The sequence below is a fragment of the Homo sapiens genome, chromosome 9 (genome assembly GCF_000001405.40).
Source record: "Homo sapiens chromosome 9, GRCh38.p14 Primary Assembly".
In the NCBI taxonomy this organism is placed as follows: Eukaryota; Metazoa; Chordata; class Mammalia; order Primates; family Hominidae; genus Homo; species Homo sapiens.
Genome location: NC_000009.12, coordinates 27390389 through 27413634, shown reverse-complemented (window position 1 = coordinate 27413634; position 23246 = coordinate 27390389). Strand labels below are relative to the sequence as shown.

The 23246-nt window shown below is 40.1% G+C and overlaps 1 protein-coding gene across 6 annotated transcripts in view, besides 1 other annotated feature; it reads left to right on the top strand.

Annotated features, from left to right (window-relative positions):
- The window catches only part of MOB3B (MOB kinase activator 3B), a 204606-nt gene that overhangs the window by 116180 nt on the left and 65180 nt on the right, over positions 1-23246 (top strand). The gene's annotated exons all lie outside the window — the stretch shown is intronic.
- Positions 17500-18063: an enhancer, noted in NCBI's record as "OCT4-NANOG hESC enhancer chr9:27395570-27396133 (GRCh37/hg19 assembly coordinates)". NCBI's record gives its function as "activates a minimal SCP1, AML or CMV promoter by ChIP-STARR-seq in naive and primed H9 embryonic stem cells {active_cell/tissue: H9 hESC(naive and primed)}" and the evidence as "EXISTENCE:reporter gene assay evidence [ECO:0000049][PMID:30033119]".

The following is a 23246-nucleotide window of genomic DNA, read 5'->3' as shown; positions in this document are numbered from 1 at the left end:
GGAACACCCTCCAATTTTTAGATTCCTAACTTCGCTCTTTCCCCTCTCCAATCCAGTCCCTTCAAAATAGCCGAGAGTAAGTTTTAAAAACAAATCTAGCCACGTACATGTAACTGCTTTATCAGTGGGCATAACTCGTGCAGCAACCAAAATGCAACTTTATTCTTTGTCTCCTGCTATCCCTTTAAAGAACTTATTCAGTGCAGTGGTCCTCCCTTTGTTCTTTGATAAAATTCTTGCCAGTGTGGCTTTTCTAGTCACTCTCAGTTAATAGTCTATGTCACTTTAAGCTCCACAAAAAAAAAAAGTCCCATTTCAGTAACGAGAATGAAATGGAGAATTCACTCCAAAATAATAACCTTCCAAAAATAAGACTCCTCCCTGTCCCTTTGCCCCCGACCTCTCTGCTGTGCTAAGATCTACAATTGGGCTATTTGCCTCAGGGGAATGGAGCCATGGAGATATGGCAGAATTCCTCCTCAGTTCCTCAACTTCCTTCTTCTCCCACTACTGACTGCTATTTTGGGCCCTGCCTGGGTCAAAGCATAGGGTGGGAGCAGGAGACAGAAGATAGGAATGTTAATGTTATTACTTGGCTGGGCAGATTTGCCCTCTCTGGTCCTGTAGATGGCTAAAGCAAATTCTTTAAAGGGTGCCTTTCATTGGAGAATCCATCTAAATGAATGGTCCAGCCTGGTCCCTCAGCGTGGTCCATGTTCCTATCAACTGTGACGTCTCACAGGTAGAGCTGCCATGGGATATATACACCAGTGGAGATGTGAGTAAACCATCAGAGTGTAACTCAGAAGTAGACAGCAATAGGCTATTGACTTAGTGACCAGCTATAATAAGCTAACCCACCACGGTCACTGTTTCTGTTCAAAGCAGGCTGGAGTCGCCTTCATTTTCATCTTGAGATGATGCTGCTTAAACCCCCATCACTGTCTTCTTTCTCTTCCTAACTAGAAATAAGAATGTTTGCTTTATTTTTTATGTATGGCTGTAAATTCAGAAGACTTGCTTTGGGAAAAATGGAACCCAGTGCTTTAATTTAGAAACAAGAAAAGGGAGAGGGAGGGAAGGAGGGAGGAAGGAAAACCAAACAAGAGACTAATAACTATAGAAACAAAAAGAGAATTGACTCCTGGTACTGAGCATTTCCTCATAGCACTGAAGTATAGATAAAGAGTATATTGCATGAATGGGTTGAGTGACAACAATCCTTTTGAATCCGGAAAGGTGGGGGCTTTGCCACAAACAACCCCACCCCCACCCTTTATTAGAAGTCTACTAGGAATCTTTAAGATATTGCTCTGGGGAAGAATCTCCAGGAAAGGAAAGGCACCTGGTTAAGCAGCTCTTCCTGCTCGCATAATTTCTAGTTATCCCTGAATGGGGGTAGGTATGGCTGCCTCTCCTTGATTTTATCTTATTTTTACTTTTTTTTTTTTTTCGTCATAAGGGTAGATTTCTAGAAAAGCCTCAGTTTGTTTTTGTTTTGTTTTGATCACCTTTGCCCCATATTCTCCTTCCACACATTATGTGAATTATTTCGTTTCTCCTTGTTAATGAAACGACCCTAAATAAATGGTTCAGGGTTAATTAACAAGCATCTTCTTTTTTTATCTTAATTAATAGACTATCTTTTTGAGCAGTTTTAGGTTTACAGAAAATGGAGCAGATAGTACAGGGTTCTCACATGCCCCTTCCTCCCACAATTTCCCCTATTATTAGAACCTTGCATTAGTGCAGCACATTTGTTATAATTGGTGAACCAAAATTGATTTGTTATTATTAGCTAAAGTCCATAGTTTACATTAGGGTTGACTCTGTGTTGTGTATAGTTCTATGGGTTTTGGCAAATGTATATTGTCATATATCCCCCAAAACGGTATCATTCAGAATTATTTCACTGCCCTAAAAATCCCCTCTGCTCCACCTGTTCATCTCTCCCATTTTTATGTTTATTTATTTCTTTCTTTGTTTCTTTCCTTGGCATTCCTCACATGTGAGCAAGACTTCTTCTGTCAGTTCATTTAGAAGACGTGGTAGTGCCTCAAATTTTCAGGACACTTTGCCTAATTCTGATGAGACTAGTTAGGAAATATAGACAATTTAAAGGTCTAGAAATAGGCACAGTGTGTGCTCTGATGATGGCTGTCCTGATCCAGCCTCTCTTACCCGTCTATGGCCTCACTCTGGCCTCTGATCTTCACACTGTAATCCCAAGAAATTGGTACAAATCTGCAAGCCCTAGCTGAAACAATTAGATGGCATTGATTCACCTGCTAGATGTTCCTTCTTGGAAATTTGAACCTTGCGTGGGATGAAGAGAGAGCTGGAGTCCTCCTCTGCAATAGTACCCTTCCCTCCAACCCCAGGACTTTCTCAGGTACAGATTTCAGACTGAGAAAACGATGTGCCTTTTCCCTAGAAGAGGTACAGCTACCAGGAAAGAAGCCACTTATTAGGGAAGACCCCATCTGCCATATCTAGGGATACATCATTGTATCAAACCCTGTTATAAACATATTATCCACATTATAAGAATTCTATGCATATATGAACAAGATCATTGCCTCACAGACTCACAGCAGAACCAAGTTTCTGCTAGACTTCCATATTCGCATTCATCATATTGAATCACATATCCACAGATACAATTTTGGACAGCCATTAAAAATCATGTTTTCAAAGAATAGTTAAGACGTGGGGCAATGTTTGCAGTGTAAAGTTAAAAAATAAAGGGATACAAGATTATATGTAGTGTGATTCATATAGCTATATAGAGAGAAAGATAATTCAATCACCAAGTAGATTCCTTCTCATTTTCCAGATTTTCTACAGTGAGCATTATTAATTTTATAATCAGAAAAAAAAAGAATAACTTTCATTTTAAAGAAAGTAACACTGATCTGTGTGGTGACCATTCTGGGGATATGTGTCCAGCCTGAAGACCACCAAGCAGGCCCCTTTTCATTAGCAAGTGTTGTTGGAAATAATGGAGAGGCAAAGCACAGGTCAAAGCATTAACCCTGGAGTGGTCAGCTTGCCTGTGCTTAACTCCAGAAAGATGCAAAATATACATTCATCACAGGAACAACTGAGCTCTTACAAGGAAAGATTTTCCAGAAACTCAAGGAAAAAAAAAAAATCTTTTCTAGGCAATTTCCTAGCTAGGTGCAATTTTCTTATAGGTCTATCTAAAAACTTTTGAACCGGGTGACTCAAATTTGTCAGTTTCCAATATTCCCATGCCATCATCTTCATCAGACTGAATTCATTACACTTGTACTATCCTGACTGTGCATTTAGGAATAAATGACCCCATTGGGTAAAGAATGAGCTGAGGTCTTATTAAAGCTGGCATCTTTATTTCCCTAAATGTCATACTCACTTTGAAATCCACTGATAGAATGAATGGGGGTGTGCTCTGGTTCCCAAGAGCCCTCAATAATTGGCTGCTGACTTCTTGTTCTTGGATCGATTTCTTCTAAGTTCAAACATTTTTTAAAAATTTGTTTCTTTAGTTGTAAAATAAATATAACATAAAACTTACCATTTTCACCATTTTTAAGTGTACAATTCAGTGGCATTAAACACATTCACAGTGTTGTTCAATCATCAATATTATCCATTTCCAGAACTTTTTCATCACTGCAAACTGAAACTCTGCATACATTAAATAATGACTCTTCATCCCCACCCCTCCCTCTCAGCCCCTGATAACCTCTATTCCACTTTCTGTCTCTCTGAATTTTTCTGTTCTAGGCAACTCACATAAAGATAAATCATACAATATTTGTCCTTCTCTGTCTGGCTTATATCACCTAGCATAATGTTTCGACCATGCTGTCATAAGTATATAATTTCCTTTTTAAGGCTAATTAATATTTCATTTTATATATATACCACATTTTGTTTATCCATTTATCTATTGATGGACATTTGGGTTGTTTCTGCCTTTTGGCTATTGTAAGTAATGCTACTAGATGACCATTGAGGTACAAGTGTCTATTTGAGTCCTTGCTTTTCAATTCCTTTGGGTATATACCTAGATGTGGAATTGCCGGAGCATATGATAATTCTATGTTTAACTTTTTGAGGAACTGCCATACTGTTTTCCACAGTGGCTGCACCATTATACATTTCTACCAGCAGTATATGAGGGTTGTGACTTCCCACATCTTTGCCAATACTTGTTATTTTTTTATCTTCTTGATAGTAACCATTCTAATGGTATGAAATGGTATCTCATCATGGTTATGATCAAACATTTTAAAGAAAATCTTTCTGTGTGGCTGTGATCGTCTCTGAATTAAATAGTGTCTAGCTCTGGGGCCAAGCAGCTTTGGGTTTAAACACCAGAAGGAAGTCAGCTCCACAAGGGAAGGAGCTTTAGGCTGTTTTGTGCACCAACATATCCCTGATCCATAGAACAATAACTGGCACGTAGTAAGACATGAATAATATCTGTTGAATGGACGGATTCCAGTCCATCACTTTCTAGCTATGTGACCTAACTTAAGTTCCAGTTTTCTTAACTATGATACGGGAATAAAGACAGTGCCAGCTGCCAAGGTTGTGTGAGGATTATATGCAATACCACCCACAGGGTACTTGTACACTGGTTGGCACATAGTGAGCACTCTGTAAATGGTAGTTGGTATACCTGTTATGACTAAGCAGGAGGCTTTTTATATAGGCTAATACTGAGCCTTGATCTGCAGGAGAGGGGTGAGTTCCTCAAGGCAGGAAGGGTGCCATGGGTTCAGGGATCTGGGGCAGCTTTCATGCTAAGCCAGAGCTTTGTAGCAGGAAGGAAGGGGAAATACTGCAAAATCCATTAAGCTCAGAGCTCCCCAGAGCAAGTGTATTCCCTGGCAATAACGCTGGGGGGCCAGAGGCGGGAGAGGAGAACCAGGAGTTATGTTCTCCATCAGCCCAACCACCAGGACCTTAAGCAGAATAGGCACAGTGAGGTTACAGCATGAGGGCCACTCAGTGAGGATTAATGCCCAGTGATTGATGGTAGGTCCTGTAGCTACAGCTACTGCATTCTTTCAAGATGCAAAATAATGCACTGGGAAAATGTAGCTTCATGTAACCAAATGTTAGTGGAATGCTAATGTCCCAGGTCCAAGAGGAAGCCAACTGAAGGAAGTCAAAGTTATGGATTTCCCCCTTTGCTCACATGTTGGTAGAAAATACGTGCCCCATCTCAGTGCAGAAATATAGATTCATGGGAACTCAGACAGGCTGAAGATTAAGTCTAATGAATGGATGCTAGATAGTGTCAAGCAGATTTTTCTGAGGAAGCGGAAATTTTTACTTTCACTCCCAATTTCCCTGCTTCATCAACTCCACAGAGCTTGCTGAGTGTTTCAGACGTGGTACATGCATCCTTCCAGTAGCTGAGTCACCTCTATTGTATTTAAACCATGCAGCTTTCATGGGGTAAAAAGTCAACAGATTTTACTCTGCTCATCACATTATTTCGGAGGCACATGGTTTGTTGTGAGCCTTCTGTGTCAGCCTCGGCCAGAGATTAGGAGGAGGCCCTGGGGCATCAGTGAGCCATTGATGTCCCAAGCATCGGGCTCAGTGGCCAGAAACAGTCTCTGGAGATAGAAAGGCCTGTGAGGATTCAGTGGAGATACCAGCTAGGGCAGGTAGGACCAGGTCTCAGGTCCCCAGTATCTGAGGTGTGATGGATTATCAAAGAATGCAGAGCCCAAGTTTTAGGATCAGAGCCAAAAATGGGGGAAAAAACTGAAGGAAAGAAATCGAGAGGAAGCAATATTAGGAGCAAATAGACCTCCCAAGGATTCTACTGTCTTGCCAGAGACAACACTGGGAAGCCTCTCTCCACCTTCCCAGTGCCCAGATAGCCTCTCCTTCATAAGCCTGGGAGTTTCTGGTTTCATTTTCTGCAGAAGAGATAAGAATGACCAGTTTCCTTGGAGCAGAAGGAAGTCTGCATGGGTGGGGAAGCTGGCCTGGTGGAAGCCCAGGACTTCCTTTCCTACCTTATCACCACTGCTTCTCCAAGAAGAGAGGAAGGAAGGCCAGTACTCTGGGCCCTCCTGCCCACCATAAAATCAAGCTCTCCATGCCCCAGGGGTTCATGCTCTGGCCTGAATCCATGCAGACTACTGGAATTCCATCAAGCAGTGAGTGTGAAAGATTTTCTCCACACTTCTGAGTGAGTTGCTTCCTCTCCCTTTGATGGAAGACTCAAACCCTCTTTATAACTAAATAAAACCCATAATTATAATTCTGTGGTAACACTTCTGTAAACAGTAGCTTGAGATGAAAAGAACAGCTCCAGAATCACAAGAAATGGCAGCATCCACAGCCACGTCTGGGAATGGTTCCCTGATGTTGTGCTCTAAACATTTTTTCTAAACTCAGATGGTAAATGCAGGATGCTTCAGTCTTTCCTAGACCTCTTAGGTTACACAGAGTGGGGCTGAAATCTTACTCAAGAAATCTTTGGGCCGGGCGTGGTAGTTCATGCCTGTAATCCCAGCACTTTGGGAGGCTGAGGCAGGTGAATCACGAGGTCAGGAGTTCAAGACCAACCTGGCCAACATGGTGAAACCCCGTCGCTAATAATAATACAAAAATTAGCCAGGCATGGTGGCAGCTGCCTGTAATTCCAGCTACTCAGGAGGCTGAGGCAGGAGAATTGCTTGAATCCAAAAGGTGGAGGTTGCAGTGAGCCGAGATCATGCCATTGCACTCCAGCCAGCACAACAAGAGCAAAATCCATCTAAAAAAAAAAAAGAAAAAAAGAAATCTTGGCCAGACCAATGTCCTTGAGCATTTCCCCAGTGTTTTCTTCAAGTAGTTTTATAGCTTCAGGTCTTCGATTAAGTCTTTAATCCATTTTGATTTGATTTTTGTATGTGATGAAAAGAGAGAGAGATCTAGTTTCATTCTTTTGCATATGGATATCTAGTCTTCCCAGCACTATTTACTAAGAAGACTGTCCTTCCCAATGTATGTTCTTGGCACCTTTGTTGAAAATGGGATGACTGTAAATGCATAAATTTACTTTTGGATTATCTATTCTGTTGCATTGGTCTATGTGTCTGTTTTTATGCCAATATCATGCTGTTTTAATTACTGTAGCTTTGTAGCATAATTTGAAGTCAGTGTAATGTGATGCCTCTGGCTTTGTTCTTTTTGCCCAGGATTGCTTCGGCTATTCCAGGTTTTGTGGTTCTGTATACATTTAAGGATTATTTTTTTCTTTTTCTATGAAGAACATTACTGGTGTTATGACAGGGATTGCATTGTAGCTATTGTAAATGGGATTACTTTCTTGGTTTCTTTTTCAGGTTGTTCACTGTTGGCATACAAAAATGATACTGATTTTTCTATGTTGATTTTGTATTCTGCAACTTTACTGAATTTCTTCATCAATTCTAATAGTTTTTTGGTGGAGTCATTAGGTTTTCTAAATATAAGATCATAGCATCTGCACACAAGGCTAGTTTGACTTCATTGTTTTCTGATTTAGATGCCCTTTATTTCTTTCCCTTGTCTAATTGTTCTGGCTAGGACTTCCAGTACTCTGTTGAGTAAAAGTGATGAAAGTAGGCATTCTTGTCTTGTTCCAAATCTTAGATAAAAACTTTAGTTTTTCCTAGTTCGATATGATTCTAGCTATGGGTATGTTATATATGGCTTTTATCATGTTGAGGTATGTTCCTTCTATACTCAGGTTTTGAGAGTTTTTATCATGAATCAATGTTGAATTTCATTGAACGCTTTTCTGGCATCAGTTGAAATGATCATTTGGTTTTTGTCCTTCATTCTATTGGTATGATGTATCACATGTATTGATTTGCATATGTTGAATTATCCTTGCCTTGTTGAACTCAGTTTGCTAGTATTTTGTTGAGGATTTTTGCATCTGTGTTCATCAAAGATGTTGGCCTATAGTTTTCTTTTTTTGTTGTGTCTTTGTCTGGTTTTGGTATTAGGGTAAGACCTCAAAAATACAGGCAACTAAAGCAAAAATGGAAAAATGGTATCAGATCAAGCTAAAAAGCTTCTGCACAACAAAGGAAGGAACCAAGAAAATGAAGAGACAGCCCACAGAATGGAAGAAAGTATTTGCACACTACCTATCTGAGAAGGGATTAATAACCAAAATATATAAGGAGCTCAAACAACTCAATTTTAAAAACCTAAATAATCCCATTTAAAAAATGGACAGGTTGGGCGTGGTGGCTCACACCTGTAATCTCAGCACTTTGGGAGGCCAAGGCAGGCTGATCATGAGGTCAGGATTTCAAGACCAGACTAGCCAATATGGTGAAGCCCTGTCTCTACTAAAAATACAAAAACTAACCGGGCATGGTGGCATATGCCTGTAATCCCAGCTACTCAGGAGGCTGAGGCAGGAGAATTGCTTGAACTCCGGAGGCAGAGGTTGCAGTGAGCCGAGATCGCACCACTGCACTCCAGCCTGGGCGACAGAGCAAGACTCTGTCTCAAAAAAAAAAAAAAAAAAAAAAAAAAAAAAAAGACAAAGGTTCTGAATAGATATTTCTCAAAAGAAGACATACAAATGGCTAACAGGTACATGAAAATATGTTCAACATCATTAATAAGCAGAGAAATGCAAACTAAAACTGCAATGAGATATCCTGTCACCCCAATTAAAATGGCTTTTATCCAAAAGAAAGGCAATAATTAAGGCTGGTGAGGATGTGGAGAAAAGGGAACCCCATACACTGTTGGTGGGAATGTAAATTAATATAGCCACTATGGAGAACAGTACAGAAGTTCCTCAAAGAACTAAAAATAAAACTACCACATGATTCAGCAATCCCATTGCTGAGTATATATCCAAAAGAAGGGAAATCAGTATTTGCACCCCCATCTTTATTGAACCACTGTTCACAATAGCCAAGATATGGAGTCAACCTAAGATGAGTTATAAAGAAAATGTGGTTTAATTAGCCAGGCATAGTGGATCACGCCTGTAAATCCAGCACTTTGGGAGGCCAAGGCGGGTGGATCACCTGAGGTCAGGAGTTCAAGACCAACCTGGCCAACATGGCAAAACCCCATCTCTACTAAAAGCGCAAAAATTAGCCAGGCGTGGTGGTGCATGCCTGTAATGCCAGCTACTCGGGAAGCCAAGGCAGGAGAATCGCTTGAACTTTGCAGTTCAAGAGGTTGTAGTGAGCTGAGATCGCACCATTGCACTCCAGCCTGGTGACAGAACGAGACTCTGTCTCAAAAAAAAAAAAAAAAAAAAAAAAAAAGAAAGAAAGAAGGAAAGAAAGAAAGAAAGAAAATGTGGTTTATATGCACAATGGAATATTATTCAGCCATATAAAAGAATGAAATCCTGTCATTTACAACAGCATAGATGGAGGAAATTATGTTAAGTGAAATAAGCCAAGCACAGAAAGATAAATAGCACATGTTCTCGTTAATATGTGGGAACCAAAAAGAAAAAAAAAGGGTAGTCATGGAGATAGAGAATAGAATGATGGTTACCCAGATGGAGGAAAGTATAATAGGGAGGGGGAGATAAAGCGAGGAGGGTTAATGGGTACAAAAATACAGTTAGATATGAGGAGTGAGTTCTAGTGTTAGCACAATAGAGCGACTATAGTTAACAATAATTTAGCATGTATTTCAAAATAACTAAAAGAGTGGAATTTGAATATTCTTAACACAACAGAAATGATATATTCTTGAGTTGATGGATACCCCTATTACTCTTATGTGATCATTACACATTGTATGCTTGTATCAGAATATCACATGTGCCCCATAAATGTGTACAACTATTATGTATCCATAACAATTAAAAATTTAATAAAGAGGCCAGGCATAATGGCTCACACCTGTAATCCCAGCACTTTGGGAGGCCGAGGCGGGTGGATCACAAGGTCAGGAGTTCAGGACCAGCCTGGCCAGCATGGTGAAACCCTGTCTCTTCTAAACATACAAAAATTAACTGGGTTCGCTTCAACCTGGGAGGTGGAGGTTGCAGTGAGCTGAGATTGCACCATTGCGCTCTAGCCTGGGCAGCAGGGTAAGACCCTGTCTCTTAAAAAAAAAAAAAAAAAAAAAAAAAAAAAAAATTAGTAAAGAGCCAGACCAAGCATTAAGCAGTTTAGGAGATAGAGATAACTTTAGTGTGTTTCTCTTTGGGATCTTAACAACTTTTTCCTTTTCCCTTCTCCCTATATGTGCATATTTGTGGTTCCTGAAGCTTAAATAATTTAAAGTAACTGACTTTCTCCTAAGTGTAACTATGTTCTACCTTTCATACTTTGTTTCTCCTTATTTGTTGTCAAAAGCAGAGAGAACATTCTCCTCCCCTAAATGTGACTTCAATCTAAAATCCAGAGATATAAACTGGCCATTACTTGAAATGTTAAAGACATATGTATGGCTAGGTTAAGTCTTCCTTTCTTCACTTTAGTTCTTTTTTCTGTCTTCTTGATCAATCCAGCCCAGGATCTTTCCTGCTTTCCTAGTGGTCATCAGAGCCAGTGGTCATCAGAGCCAGATACCAAACTTTTTTTTTTCGGTCCATGACTAGTCTCCCTTTTAACCTGCTTCCCTGTTGGGAAGGTTGAATGTTTGGTGAGAGATGCAGGGAGTCAACTTAGCAGGCTCTTAGGACAAAAATTGTGTTAAGGAGCATGAGCCATATACAGTACCATGGGAGGGTCTCCAACAGCTAAAGGCTCATCGCACAATTGCAAGCTGTTGGCTGTCTCTGAGCAGACAAAAGCCAGCAGACTTCTGGAAGCTACACATTACAACCCTAAATTTTCCTGGCTTGGCAGGCTGCAGTTCAGCACTTTGCCTCTCTCACTTTCCTGGGAGGCCCACGGGGCCAAGTGAACCCTGATAGTGTCCACACAACACCAAAGGGCCTGCTGGAAACATGAAAATGAAGGCAGTCCCCATTTGGTGTTTTGTGATAGCAATTACCAAAAACAAGTTTCATAGCAATTTTTGTTAACTTAGTGGTCTCATTAGACTTTCTGTATATGGACTTGAAATTTATTCATTCATTTACTTGCTCACTCATTCTTTCCTTTAATAGACATTTATCGTGTTCCTATTGTACACCAGGCAATGAGATAAAGGACTGTATTGTCTATAATTGTCCCCAGATGTAGGCAGTACAGAAGAGGTATCTTTGTCATCATCATTATCCACATTAATTCATTCAAAAAATACAGATAGAACACCTTCTATCTGTGAAGTGCTGTGCCGGGCATTGTGTGGGAATCAAGATAGACCGAGTCCAGGCTCTCATGGAGCTTGCATTTTAATGATAGAAACATATAAATACACAACTATAATAAAGGTCCTCTGATCGGGGGAGCATATAACATTATGACCTGCCTAATTTTTAACTTCATGTGGTTCAACCAAATGTTTACCGTTTATTGACTATTCCTCATATGCCAGACACAGGAATATGTGCTTTATAAGTGTTACAGTTAACATTCCCAAGAACTCTGCAAAGTTGACTTTATTATTTCCATTTTATAGATGAAGAAACTGACACAGAGAAGTTAGGTGTATTTCCCTTGGTCACAAGTGCTAAATGGCAGAACTCAGTTTATTTGACTCTAAGGTTCTGTGCTGTATTCTCTACAGGACAGAAATATCTGCACATTATGCGCTAGGCTGTTGGAAGAGACCAGAAAAAAACTAGTAGAGCATAATACCCACCTAGTATGTGGAGTAATGGATGAAATGAAGTTTAGCTCCCAAAATTGTTGTGGTTACTCATGTTTCAAAATCTGATTTCAGATAGGAGACAGATCAGTATGTTTGCCATAAGTTTCTAACCTTTGCTTACCTGTATGTTTTTCTTTTGCTTTCCTTGCTTTGAAGTTCTTTAATGATTTTATTTCCTCATTACTTTATTAAGAAGATTTAACTTTTGATTTCTAGATGTGCTCCATTAGGTACCTTGGATGTTAGCAGATCAGAAGACTGCCACAGCCACCAGGGATGAAGGGTGAGGCAGAAATGTACTTGTAGGGCAAGTTTTTTAAGGGGTAATATACCTGTGGAGTTGTCAGTACTGCCTTTGACCTGTTTCAGATCATCTATCTTTGCTCACAGACCCAGATGAGGGTGCCTTTGTCTGTGTGATCCCACCTGTCGTTGACACAGGTCCCACCTCCGTGGACCAGGGTGGACACTGACTTGAGACAGTCACGTGACTTGTATGTCACCCAAAAGGAGCCCTGGGCCACCTACAGCCCCTCTTTCAGGACTTTTGCACTAAGATCCAGAGGGAAGTTGTTAGTCGTGAGCCATTGAATCGAAAAGTCACAGGGTCCAGGCTGAGGGTGCCAGCTGGGGCTCATCTATGTGTCAAATGAGGAGGGAGTGAAGTCTCACAGAATGTGAAACAGAAGGGAATGGCTCCAGGGAGTAGAGTGAGGCAGAGAAGGCAGACCGCGTGGCCCATGCTGGAAAGGAGCACCCGGCCCCTGCTCTTCAGTTCCCTGGCCCGGTTCCATTGCTGGGCTTCACCTTCTGCTCTTGGGTGCCATATTCTATCACTGTAAAGCCCCTGTTGCCTTCCGTAGCTTGAACTGGTTTCTGGTCCTTGTCATGGACAGATCAAAACACAAGTTCTCAAGCAGATAAAATAATTTGTATCACAACTAAATGGAAATGAGGAACCTTGTGATGTCCTACTTATGGGTCTCAGATACTTTTGCCTTCTCCACAGAAGCCTAAGCTAGATATTTAATATTCTCTCCTTGAAGAAATGCTAAAAGAAGGACTAGAAAGCATCTAAGAAAAACTGCCCCCTTTGAGTGATTGTCTTAAACATTTAATGTAACACTAGAAGAACCATCATAAAAGGCCAGTGGCCATCCCTTTCATGTACGTTAATGGACCTTCTCTAAGTAGGACTTTGTGCTAGATATAGGTAGATAAAAGTGAGTGATGTCACACCTGTTCTTGAAGTGTTCACAGTCTAGACAAATAAATCACCACATAATGTAGGAACTACTAGAGTAGAAATATACAAATGTTCCTCTGAGAAGGGAATGATTCATTTCAATTTCACCTGAGGACATTAGGGAAGGCTTTACCTAGGTGATTTTTGAGCTGAGTCTTGAAAGGTAACTGTGTGCCTGGCAGTTTGGGAAGGAAGGAGGGAGGCAGGCCCTCCAGGCAAAGGGAACAGGATGTGCACAGCTAGGCGGGCATAAAACAGCCTGTTGAGCTCATGGAACTGAGAGGAGGTCACCGCAATGGGGAAAAGTGGGTGCATTGGGTGAATGGCAGGAATAAGGGTAGGTTGAGGCCAGGTTTTGGAGAGCTGTATCTACAATTAACAATACAATCAATAATTACTGTAAGTATTATTATTCTCTGTCACAGACAAAGTAAGTTATTTATATCTATCATTCTCATTTGTCAAGGAACTGTGTTGTGGACAATGTCCAAACAATATAAAGGCTTTAAAAACACTTTTTGGGAATGAGGATTCTGAGAGCAGTTTGCAGGAGAGACTGATGTAAGGGGCAGTGAAGAGCAGAGAGGACAGGCAGGAGGCAGCTGTAATTTCCAGGGGAGAAGTAAGTACCTGATTTAAGGCAGGGGCTGTGGGATCGAAAGGAGCAGTTGGGCTTGAGATTACACTTCTGAGGGATTCATATTTAGATATGTGGAGAGAATGAAAAAGAACTTCGAGCCGGGTTTGAAGGTCTTCCTCCAGGAATGGAGTCAGTAGTGATAGCACTCACTGAGCTATGTGGCACAGGATTAGGCACGTGTAGGAAGATACGATCTCATTTGGGGACATATTAAATTTGAGATGCTAATACATTTTCAAGATAGAGAAGATCTCTTGGCAGTCAGGGAAAGGAGTCTGAGGCTTGGAAAAGAGGTTAAGATTGAATATACAAATTTGGGAGTTTATATCACTCTGTCCTTCAGATTAGCGGATGGGTTCAGAGACGTGCACAAGACAGTTTTCAAGATTTGTATTAATGGAAGGGTCTCCAGACCCCATCAGTGAAGGTCCACCTGGGTGTCTGAAATACTCTAAAACAGTTGTTCAGCAACTTGCCTCTCAGCCAAGTTCCTGGAGCTCTAACCTTCTCCCCAGTGCTTTCTGTTCCCTAACAGGGCAACCAGGTGGGAATGAGCTGAGTACAGGATGCTCACTGGCCCCAAAGCCATAATGGTCTGAAATTTGGCTTTTGCATTTCCACCTGCCCTTGTGTGCTTCGTCGTCTCCTCTCTTGTACTGCCCAGTGTGGCACAGGTATGCCATCTCTTTTATTTAATAGCCTATTTGCAGTTTCAGATGAGGCATAGCCTTCCTCCTGTGATTAATTCAGGGCCCCACTGGGAAGTGGGATAAGGCACCTGCCTCTTTTGCTGGAGGGTATTTTGAGAGCTCTATAAATTTGCATCTTGAGTTTATGAAAGAGAGAGATAGGGAAGAATGGAATGTCATTCATGCATGATAATAGTAGATCTCATGTGGGCTTGGTTTCCTCAGAGTTTTCCTCACTTAACTAAGAATAATTTATTTGACCTCCACTTGGGGACTCAATATTTTAAATATTTGAAAGAGTCTGTTTCCCACCCCCCTGCCCCCAGAACTCAGGTTGACTGCTAAAAAATTGCCATTTTGCAGATTAAAAAAAAAGTAGCCACCCATCAGCAATTGCATATAGTTTCAGCCTACTAGCAACTAGAGATGGGGATGCCTAGGTGAAGGTGACAAATTGTATATACCTTTTGAGTAATTTGCCACAACAGTCCCTGGTATCTCTCTTAGTAAATTCAGATTATACGTGACTTTTAAAAGGTATCACAGTATTTGATTATATGTAACTATTTATAGAAATACTTGGTGGTATTACATGGTCAGTATTTCTGCGTCACAGTGGTTTCTGCATCCCTGACATGGGTTCCACACTCACCCAGTCTCTGGTAGGTGGTACATGCACTGCTTGCTTTTCTACTCAGCTCTTTAAGTCTCAATCATGACTTCCAAATTAGCTCATGTAGTGATCCTGGTTTGAGATTCTCCATGAAGAGGGAATGAAAGACCTAATGTTTATTGTGCACACCTGCTCTGTATTAGACTCTGTGTCAAATGCTTTATGTCTACTGTGATCTTCAATTCTGAGTAACAACCTTACAGGTAGGAATTATTATCTTCATTTTTATAACTAAAAAAAGAAAACCATGAAGACTCTAGATTAGATAACTTGCCCTAAATTATCAAGGAGATAGTTGCCATTGGTTAGTTCTTGCTCTGAGCTACAAAATCCTCCAGAGCAAATGTTATATCCTGAAGGGAAGAAGGCAGTAAGTGAGATGACGATCCTTCTGCCCAGATTGGGAGGAGGGGTACATTTCAGGAGACATCTCTGTCCCACTGTGTGACATTGGATTCTGTTTCTCCACAATGAAATGAAGATAACAACACATGAGCTCCTCCCCGGGATGCTGTGTGATTAAAGGTAAATTTGCTTTAATTTCTACTGAGGTAACCCAGAATGCTGATCTGGGATTCCTGAAGAAGGCATGCCATAAATTTATCTTTGGATCCTCTATCAAAAGACGGGAGACTTGGGTAAAAAATTTATCAGTGGCCTAACACAGGTTCTTAACTGGGAGAGATTTGGAGACATCTGGCCATGTCTAGAGACACTTTTTGGCCCCTGGCATCTAACGGGTAGATACTACTAAACACCCTGCAATGTATGGGACAATCTCTCACAACAAACAATTATTTGGCCCCAAATGTGGATTGTGTGAGATTAAGAAACCCTGATCTAAAGAGTACTTGCAGAGAAATTGGTTTAGCCGATCTAAAAGAGCAAGTTAATTCCACAAACTATCAAGTACTTTGGAAGGATTTATTTGTACATAGAAGATTAGTATATTATGAATTATAAAATATTTAGTCATGAAAGCAATTCTTGGGAGGGAACTTCTGTTATTACTAGAATCTTGTGAGGGTTCTATGAACTAAAAAAATAGTATTTAAATAAGGAAAAAGATGTAGTCAAATTTCACAGATTTGCACTCATTAGAGCCATTGGAGGAGGTAATTACTCAGAATTAGTGAACACTTCAAAATATAGAGGCATTATTGGTTTATTCCCCTGTAATGTGTTGCTTTATATAATAATCAGTGGAGAGCCTATTGATTTGCATTTATTTGAGAGTTGTTTTCTATGTATTAACTCTATGCTGTGGTTCAATAGATGAAAAGCCTTATATTAAAAGGGGCTGTTAATATAGCAATCTTGATGATCTTTTTTTTTTTTTCTCTTTGCCACTTCTGTAAAACTCATAATCGTAGTGTCTCATCTTAGGCCTGCCACATGACTTGGAACGATTGAGTTATGGAGAATCTCTGCACCTCCGTATAGAAGAAATAGTATGAGGCATTTCTCTTGAACAGCGCTATCCTTCTTCCTGCATTTTCCCTCTTCCCCAACTTCTGTTGAACAAAGAAGAAGGACTGTCTTGTAGATGTTACTGTCCTATGACAAAGGTCTTTTCCACTACACAAAGAAAATTTGCTTGGAATGGGCCCAAAATATTATTTCCTTAAAAGCTGCTCAAAAAGATGATGAAGGCATCTTACCAAATATCAGGAGATTGTATTCTAGTTTGTCCTTGATTTGGTGTTTGGCCTTGCACAAGTCATTAAATGTCTGTCCTCCTTTTTCCTTACTGTAAAATGAAGAGGGTTAACGTGGATGGTTAAATGCGTTACCATTTTGAGATTGTAATAGCTAAGTCTTAGGGCACCTAGGATGCTAAAATTAACATTTTGCTCAGCCAAAAATCAGGCTGCCTTGAGGGTAAATGAATTTTATGGAGACACTGTGATAGTTAAGAAGAGGGCTGAACTTATTAGAAGAGACATGATGTCATCCTTATTCACAGACTGGAATAAATTCTGCCATATTCAGTGGGGAAGGAGACTAAATTTAGATAGTCAAGGTGAAATAGTGGTAGATAGTCAAGGAGAAATATGGGAAACATAAAGTAGTAAGGAAATATGATTAGAAAGGAAGAAAAAACAAGGTACATATCATTTAGGGCTCCTTGGTTGCAAGCAACAGAAACTGACTCTGACTAACCTGAGTAGGAAACAGGATTTATTAGAAAGAAGGTGACCTCAGAGTCAAATAATGATTCTGGTGTGTGTGAATTGGGGTGGATAGGAGTGGGCTTGGGGATAACCGATTGGCAAACTTGCCAGAGCCCCAGTGACTGAGGGAGCAGTTCCCCCAGGGACGAAAGCTATGAATAGAGAAGGGGGAAAAGGACTGCTGAATATAAAAAATAATACAAGAAATATAAATATTTCTTGAACAAGAAAATAAGAGAATTGCCTCAACCTACTGTCAGTGATACATCTGTTTGAAGCAAAAGAAAATGTGGTTTACTATTTTGGAGAAGGAAAAAAATACATGTAGGGAAAGTGTATCAGGAAAGGAACCTGAAATAAATTTAACCAAATTCATTTATTCTTGAGCATTTTTAGAGCCCTCCCCCACACCCCTACCTTAAGTGGCCAGGCACCTTGTGCTCAGTATCCAAAAAAGGTAACATAACCCCCGTCCTCAAAGCTCCCAGCCAGTAACACAATAATTGTGATTTCCTCACTTTTTGATTGTTCTGTACATGCCAAGCTGCTTGCTGAGTGCTTTAAAAGCATGTCTCATTTAATCCTGCAAGTGCTCCTTGAACGAGTCCTATTGTTATCTCCATTGTGTAGATGCCACTGAGGAGCAACAGAATGAGCCTAAAGTTAGAAAGCAAATCAGGCTGAGCCTGACTCAGCCCTGGTCAGCTTGGCTCCAGGACCTGGGCTCTTGCTACCGTTCTGTGTTGCCTTTCTTAGCAAGTAGAGGAGGAAAAAGAAAACAGAAACACAAAGGAAGGGACAACACACCCATATGGTATCTCCTGTTATTGACTAGATCACTGAGCGTTGCAGTATTTAAGGATTGAATCACATTCGCTCCCTGTTGATGCCTGCAATAAGTTATTAAAAACAGCCATGCACAATCAGTGAGCAGGCTAGCAACTGTTCCAAAGCAGGATAGAACCTGCCTCTCTCTGTCTGGGGCATACCAACCTATCAACAGTCTTTTTTTTTTTAAAAAATCTATTTATTATTTAATTGGCAAATAAAAATTATATGTATTTATGGTGTATAACATGTTGCTTTGATATATGTTTACATCGTGGAATGATTAAAACAAGCTAATGAACACGAATCAACTCATATCATTTTTTGTGGTGAGAACATTTACAATCTAGTCTCTTAACACTTTTCAAGTACATAATACAGTATATGCATTAACTATATGCAACACAGTATATAACACATCTTCAGAACTTTTTCCTCCTAACTGAAACTTTGTACCCTTTGATCAATATCTCCCCGCTTCAGCGGTCTTTTGATGCTTCTACAACAAGACATCCCGACTTAATGACTCCACAGATGACCTTTTCTCCACCCCCCAAACAAAGTACAGATTTCATGTCTAAATTTTTTATCCTAAGCCAAGATAAGAATGTTATTGTCTCTTCTGTGCCTGGACCTCTCATCAGCAGTGAATGGAAATCTCAATGATTAATACAATATTTTCAATCTAATAGAGCTGCTGGCTCACAGCCACTTGTCTTGAGACATCTCACTGTCAAAGCATGACTCTCAATACATGAAATATACAGTGGGCATCAAACTATATTCCCAGCTTTTAAGATAACATGATTTTCTCCTTTTCTATGTTTTACTAATTTTTATTAAAAAGTATGTTTACTTTTACAATAGAAAAAAAAAAGTCAGTTAAGAAGAATGCCTGCTATGCTGTGGTTAATCTAAAGTTAATTACTTCTCTGCCACCTACTCCTTTGTTTATAAAGGACTCTATTGTAGGTGCTGGAAGCATAAGTAGGTGTGACCGTCAGGTTCCTATACACTAAATCTAAATTTGCTGCCTACTCACTGGCATTTTGTGGCTTTTGTACCTTTTCTTCAAGCCTCCTTCTGGACACAGTTTATCCAATGGCTGGTATCATGTGGGTTTGTCAGTCTTTATAGCTCATTTGGGATTGCTTCTTTTGGTAGTTCTGTGTTTTGGAACTCTAGGCCTCTGCTTTTGTTTTCTTTTCCTTCAAATAGTCATTGAAGTCCAGAGTGTTGGCAGTGACCTTTGAAAATGTTTTTACAGCTTACAGAGACTTCCTGACATGTTTTATTAGCTCTTGGTGGTAGCTAATAAAGTGAGTCTTAGCAAAGCCGTGTAACATGACAGATTAGAGCCACTTCCAAAATAACCACTCACCAGAGTTATCTTGAAGGAGGCTTGACGACAGGATATTTGGCTACCGCTTTCTGTCCAGTTCAGCAGGGCATGTGTGATTACCTCTTGAAGAAGGGAGGTCATTCCTTTAGGAAATACAGTGACCAACTTATGATGAAAGAACCACAAACACTGAGAGCCCCCTGCACCAGTAAAACAGAGATGTGATTGCTGTAGGGATTGATTAATGAGTTATTCCACAAAACTTTTGCCTCCTACCTTCACAGAGTTAGAATATGAGCCAAAGCTGGTCATCTACCTTTTAAGAGGAGGAAAAGAAGTGAAAACAACCCTCCCTGAACACTCATGAGTGTTCAATAAGATCTCTCTTTTCTATCTTATCTTTATTTTTATTTTTTTACTTGGAGGAGTGGTTTAGCAAAATGACATGGAGTTTGGATTCTGGATTTCCACAGATCTGGATTCAAATCCTGCATCTGCCATTGATCAGCTGGGTGATCTTAAGCAAGTGTTCGCTTAAGACTTGGTTTCTTCATCTGGAAAGTGGGGATAATAATCGAAGGTTTGTTGTGAGGAATAAAATGTGGCCAAGTCTGTACACTGCTTAGCACAGTGCTTGACATGTAAGCACTCAAAGAATGTTAGCTATGAAGTTATTTTCTTAAATTCCTTGCAGAGCCATGTGTGAACTCTGTTTGTAGAATAATATTTATCTATATGCCTTCCTCCACCCAGGTCTACCATTTTGCACAACTCCTTGGGAACACAATTAGCAATGGGACATCATTCACATAGAATACAGTATCGATGGTGTCCTTCGAGTTCCACAACAGAGCAACTACCTCCTCATCCTCCACTTCCTCCTCTCTCTACCTCTCTCTGTTACACACACACACACACACACACACACTTCTCTGCACCCTATATAAATAATCATGCACTTCTCTGCACCCTATACAAACAAGCTTTTTAAGTTATTTTTGTGCCCTCTACAAATAATCACCTGGCCTATATTTACTTTGGGGAAATAACTTCTTCATAAATAGGCGTAACAGAAAAAGCAGAACTGACCTAGACAGCCTTTTAAACACCTATAGCAAGGATTTACTTGTACCCTGTGCATTTTGTGACAAACAAGGTGTAGAACTGCTATTTCAGATAGTCAGTAATAGCCAGGTATTAAGAATCTGTCTAATGTGAAACTCCGTCAGAATCTAAAGCAAGAGAAAAAAAGCTAAAAATAAAATGCTAGGGACAATCAGTTAATCAGCCACTTTTCCTCCTTTTTATCTCAAGCAACACTTTGTCTCAAGTCTGTCTCAAGTCCAACAAGGGTCTTAGTAGATTGTAAATCCATAGAAGACAAAACCAGGGAATGTGGACATTTTTTGAGTCCCTTCTGTATGTCAGTTGATTAATCCATGTAAGGTCATTAATAGTCATGACGATGATTATCTTTATTTTATAGATAAGGAAACCAAGACCAATTGGTTATGTAAGTGATGCCCAAATCACACAGCTAGCAAGAGGAAGAGCTTAGAATTGACTTTTTTATCTTTCCAAAACACTGGTCTCTCCACTGCCTGAGAGCTTCCCAAGTATCAGAGCTCCATTCATGAAAATGAATAGGACAGGACATCAAATGGCTCGTCTTTATTCCTACAGTTGTTCATGTAAAGGATTGTCTTTTATTCTGGGATTATAGCTTTCTTGTTTTTTTTCTTTTGTGGTGCAAAAATGCCCTTTTATGAAATGAGTGAGAGTTAGTGAGACTTTTTTAAGTGCCCTTTTGGCAACATAAACGTAGGCGACTTTATGTTGATCCCCTTGCCCAATTTTTAAAATTTCCTGGATTTTGAAACCCAGAAGTCTAGTCCTACTACGGTATACCATTTTGCTTTCCTCCAAATATTTGCAGATGTTTTAAACGTTCTCTTTGCATTATAGAATACTCTTACAACCTAGGGGCCTGCTATGCAGTTATTTCTCATTAAGCTTCAATGATGTTCAAGAATTACCTGTTCCCACATATGATAAAGAAAACTTGTTTCTTTATTTGAATTCCACCAAAAAATGGTTCTAAATAAGAATCCTCTAGAAAATGTATTAAAATATTAGATTCTGGAGCCCTGCCCTCAAAGATTGATTCAGTAGTTCTGGGTGAGACCCAAATTTGGATTTTTTGCAAGCCTCTGAGGGGATTCTGATGCTGCTTATATGGGGATAGTACTTCCAGGAACTCTTATAGAAAGGCATTGAATCTGATATGAAATTATCTCTCCTCTGCATTGAGAATTCTGTATTTTTGCCATAGAGACTTATAGAGGCATGGCATCATGTCAAGCTCAATTTTGTGAATTATATGAGATTTCTACATCTATTTTTGGTTAAAATACTGGAGCAGAATCATCTTATTTGCTTTAAGCACTTCCTCTCAAAATCAAATTAAGTAAAATTAATCTCTTCGAAGAAAAGCATTCTCTAAATTTGAAGTCACTTTTATGCTTAACTGAACATATGATACCTCCAAGCTGAATCCTGGGCCCGTCAGGGAAGTCTGAGTTCCGTATGTGACATCAGTTGGTTGCTATGGAAGTGTAGGCTGTGCTATAAATTCCAGCTCCACGCAGATTTCTCTTGATTGCAAGTCAATTGAGAATGATTTGTAATTTTTTGGATCACACTCAGAGATGCTATTTAGTGTAAACACTTACTTTCATTAAAATAGTTTAATAATTGATGTCTATGGTTTCCAAACGTTTTCAGCATCACATTTTGCACATGAATAGCACACTTCCAACAATAACATAACTCATTACATGACGGGATTATTGACCCAAGAGAGGTGAATCAGTTTATCCAGGACACAAAAATAACTTAAAAAGCTCTGCCCCCTTCCCCTAGGGACCTTTTAAGCTTTACCCACCACACCCAACCATTCATTTATATAAATAAACTTCACCAAGATCAGATATACTGCCAATATTTTAAAAAGAAGATTATTACTGAAGAATCTGCTGAGGTGAGAGGTAGGCAGTCGCCTCTGAATAGGATGTGCTCAGCCAAACACCATCCTGTGAACGTGGTACATTTAACCAAAGCTCTCTTCTTCCCAAGACCTCGTTTCAGAAAAGAGTAGGTGTGAGTAAAGGGTTCATGCCTTTGCTTCTCTACTTCTCTGCCTGACTAACTCAAACTTCAGAACTCCTCCAGGATTTTTTCTGATTTATTCTGTTCAGGCTGCTATAAGAAAATGCTGTAGACTGAGTAACTTGTAAACACAGTTTCTCACAGCTCTGGAGGCTGGAAAAGCCAAGATCAGGATGCCAGCATGGTCAGGTTCTGGTGTAGACTGCCAGTTTCTCAGTGTGTCCTCAGGTGGTGGAAGCGGGGAGGAAGCTTTCTGGAGCTTAAGGCTTTTATAAGGGTAATAATCCCATTCGTGAGGGCTCTGCTCTCATGACCTGATCACCACTCAAAGGCTCTACCTCCTAATATCACCTTGGGGGTTAGGATTTCAACATACAAATTTTGGGGGGACTCAAACATTCAGTCCATTGCACCCTCTGATTCCTTCAACTGGGTTAAGTTCTCCGCCCTTAGTCTCTCACTGCTGAACTCCAATACATATATTCTCACTATGGTGAAAGGATTTCGCCCTGATTGCAGGCTCTGTGATCAGACAGCCTGGCTTCAGATTACCTGTCTGCCAGTTACCCTGTGGGAACTAAAGCTTATGAAATGTTAGCAGTGTCTGGTACATAAATAATATTAGCAACTTGGCCGGGCACGGTGGCTCACGCCTATAATCCCAGCACTTTGGGAGGCTGAGTGGGGAGGATCACTTGAGGCCTGGAGTTCATGACCAACCTGGTCAACATGGCAAAACCCCGT